The 3,637-nt window shown below is 45.9% G+C and overlaps 1 annotated feature.

Annotated features, from left to right (window-relative positions):
- Nucleotides 2,135-2,366: a silencer, noted in NCBI's record as "fragment chr10:81754777-81755008 (GRCh37/hg19 assembly coordinates)". NCBI's record gives its function as "represses an EF-1alpha promoter that drives an FKBP-Casp9 reporter gene in an ReSE screen in K562 erythroleukemia cells {active_cell/tissue: K562}" and the evidence as "EXISTENCE:reporter gene assay evidence [ECO:0000049][PMID:32094911]".

A 3,637-nucleotide genomic window follows, 5' to 3' on the forward strand; every position in this document is an offset into this window, starting at 1 on the left:
GGCCTCTTGAAGACAGAATACAGTTGGGTCTTGCTTTCTTATCCAACTTGCAACTGTGTACCTTTTAATTGGAGCATTTAGCCAATTTATATTCAATGTTAATATTGATACATGTAGATTTGATCCTGTCACTGTTTTGTTAGCTGGTTATTATGCCGACTTGATTCTGTAGTTGCTTTACAATGACAATGGTCTATGTACTTCAGTGTGTTTTTGTGGCAGCCCATAATGGTCTTTATTTCCATATTTAGCACTCCCTTAAGAACCTCTTGTAGGGCAGGTCTATTGATCACAAATTTCCTTAGTATTTGCTTTTCTGAAAATGAACTTATTTCTCCTTCGCTTATAAAGCATAGTTTGGGCAGATATGAAATTCTTGGTTTTAGTTTCTTTTCTTTAAGAATGCTGAATATAGACCTCCAATCTCTTTGGCTTGTAGGATTTCTGCTGAAAAGCCTGCTGTTGTCCTGATGAGGTTCCCTTTGTAGGTGACCTGCCCCTTCTCTCTAGCTGCCTTTAATATTTTTTTCTTTCACATCAACCTTGCAGAATCTGATGACTACGTGTCTTGGGGATGGTTGTCTTGGACAGTACCTTGCAGAGGTTCTCTGCATTTTCTGAATTTGAATGTTTGGCCTCTCTAGCAAACTTGGGGAAATTTTCATGGACAATACCCTCAAATATGTTTTCCAAGTTGCTTGCTTTCTCTCCCTCTATTTCAGAAATGCCAATGAGTCATAAATTTGGTCTCTTTAAATAATCCTATATTTCAGCTGGGTGCAGTGGCTCACGCCTGTAATCCCAGCACTTTGGGAGGCAAGTATTAACAGCAGAAAAGACCAAGTAGGGAAAGAATCTCAGAGCTTAAAGACTCCAAATTATCTCAATCAGACAAAACAAGAAAAAAGAATAAAAAAGAATGAACAACTAGGCACGGTGGCTCACGCCTGTAATCCAGCACTTTGGGAGGCCAAGACGGGCAAATCACAAGGTCAGGAGTTTGAGACCAGCCTGACCAACATGGTGAAACCCAGTCTCTACTAAAAATGCAAAAATTAGCCAGGCGTGGTGGTGCATGCCTGTAATCCCAGCTACTCGGGAGGCTAAGGCAGGAGAATTGCTTGAGCCTGGGAGGTGGAGGTTGCAGTGAGCTGAGATAACACCACTGCACTCCAGTCTGGGTGACAGTGAGACCTTGTCTTTAAAATATATATAAAGTAAAAAGTAAATAATCCTAAATTTCTCTAAGGTTTTGTTCTTTTTTTTTTTTTTTTTTTTTTTGTGAGATGGAGTCTCGTTCTGTCGCCTAGGCTAGAGTGCAGTGGTGTGATCTCGGCTCACTGCAACCTCTGTCTCCCAGGTTCAAGCAATTCTCCTGCCTCAGCCTCCTGAGTAGCTGGGATTACAGGCATGCACCACCACACCTGGCTAATTTTATATTTTTAGGTAGAGATGGCGTTTCTCCATGTTGGTCAGGCTGGTCTCGAACTCCCAACCTCGTGATTTGCCAGTCTCAGCTTCCCAAAGTGCTGGATTACAGGCGTGAGCCACCGCGCCCAGCTGTTCATCTTTTTTTATTCTTTTTTTCTTGTTTTGTCTGATTGAGATAATTTGGAGTACCAATCTTTAAGCTCTGAGATTCTTTCCCCATTTGGTCTTTTCTGCTGTTAATACGTGCAATTGTATTACGAAATTCTTGTAGTAAGCTTTCCAGTTCTATCATATCAGTTTGATTCTTTCTTTAAAATGACTATTTTGTCTTTTGGCTCCTCTATCATTTTGTTGTGTTCCTTAGATTCCTTGGATTAGGTTTTAACTTTCTCCTGGATCTCAAGTATCTTCATTCCTATCTATATTCTGGAATGTATGTTTGACATTCCAGTCATTTCAGACTATTTAAGGACCATCGTTAGGGCACTAGTGTGATCATTTGGAAGTTAAAAGACACTCTGGCTTTTTGAGTTGCCAGAGTGCAATGGTGCCGTCTCAGCTCACCACAACCTCCACCTCCTGGGTTCAAGCGATTCTCCTGCCTCAGCCTCCTGAGTAGCTGGGATTACAGGCATGTGCCACCATGCCTGGCTAATTTTATATTTTTAGTAGAGATGGAGTTTCTCCATGTTGGGCAGGCTGGTCTCGAACTCCCAACCTCAGGTGATCCACCCGCTTCAGCCTCCCAGAGTGTTGGGATTACAGGCGTGAGCCACCATGCCCGGCTGTGCTGGTTCTTTTTAATCTGTGTGGGCTCAAGTCCCTTTAATCTTTAATGTTGCTGTCCTTTCCTTTATCTTCTTTGAGGCCTTTAGGGGTTTGATTGTGGTATAAGATGGGTTCAGTCAACTGGATTCAATTCTAGAAGATTTCAGAGGACCAAGACTCAGCTCAGCACTCCTGGGCTGTGCACTCTAGTTCTGGGGGACTGGTACCAGGTCCCTGACTTTGTCTCTGGCCCATTGAGATTAGTAACCTCTGGCACTGGATGGGCCAAGGTGTTTCCAGTCTGCTGGCCACAACACTCCATTGGGGGTTGCTGGCCAAGGCGTTCCACTGGGGCAGTGTCAGCAGGGTCCATGCTCACTCGTGTGCACCAGCAGCTGCAGCAGCACAGCTGGGCTCACATGCATCGGCTGTAGCAGGGTGCTGGCCCTAGTCTTTGCCTTATTTTTCACGGATGCTATAACTGGCAAAATATTTTGGTGTTGCATTTTGGGCCACAATCCGGTAGGTAAAACTTAAGAGTGTTAGCCAGCAGATAGGCTGTTGCTCTGTTGCATGGCTCTTTTGTGTTTTGGCACATTTAACAGTATTGCTCTATGGTGATAGGGGAGAGAGATGACTCCCTCACCTAGTCTGCTACTGGGCCTTGGACGTGCCCCTCTGATACTGACCTCGTGCCAGTGTTTCTTTTGTTGGGTGTCTGGTCCATGAGGCTCCCTCAAGTAGGAGCCACAATTGGAGAAATCTAGGAGAGGAGTAGATTTGTGTCAGAGGGATTGAAGTCTCATTGTAGACACACAGAGTTTTATTTGCTGGGTAAAATCCAAGTGGAGGCCATATCTTTGCCAAAGTCAGCCCTGCAGAAGGAGGCACAGCCCACTCCATCAGCCTGAGAACCCAGGCATCTCACCTCTCTCAGTGATCCAAAAGTGAAGGCTTTTGGATCACTGAGAGAATTCCAGAAGCAGAACTGCTGGGCTGGAAGCTCTAGCAGGTGTGACCTGCCTGGAGATAAGAGGGCAGGGGTGGGTGGAGTCCTGCCATCAGTATATTTCCTGAGACAACAGGAGGCTGCACTCACTGGCAAAATTCAGGCAGAAGCAGGTATGGCCATCTGGCTACAAGCAGTGGGGGTGGGTAGAGTTGTCCACCTTGCTGTCCAGGTGTTTCCCAGGACAACAGGAGACTGTACCTGTCAGCTGAGCTCAGAAGTGGGACCACTGGGCTGGAAACTCTAACAGGCATTGCCTGCCTGGTTATCAGCAACAGGGGTGGGTGGAGTTGTGCACCCTGCCATCAGGGTTTCTCCTGGGGCAACGGGAGGCTGCAGCTGCTGGCTCAGTTCAGTCAGAAGCAAGACTGCTGAAGCTGGTGCCAAGCCTTGTCTGGCAAGGCAGGGTGGAGTCATCTTACTGCTCCC

This window comes from Homo sapiens, chromosome 10 (genome assembly GCF_000001405.40).
Source record: "Homo sapiens chromosome 10, GRCh38.p14 Primary Assembly".
Lineage (NCBI taxonomy): Eukaryota > Metazoa > Chordata > Mammalia > Primates > Hominidae > Homo > Homo sapiens.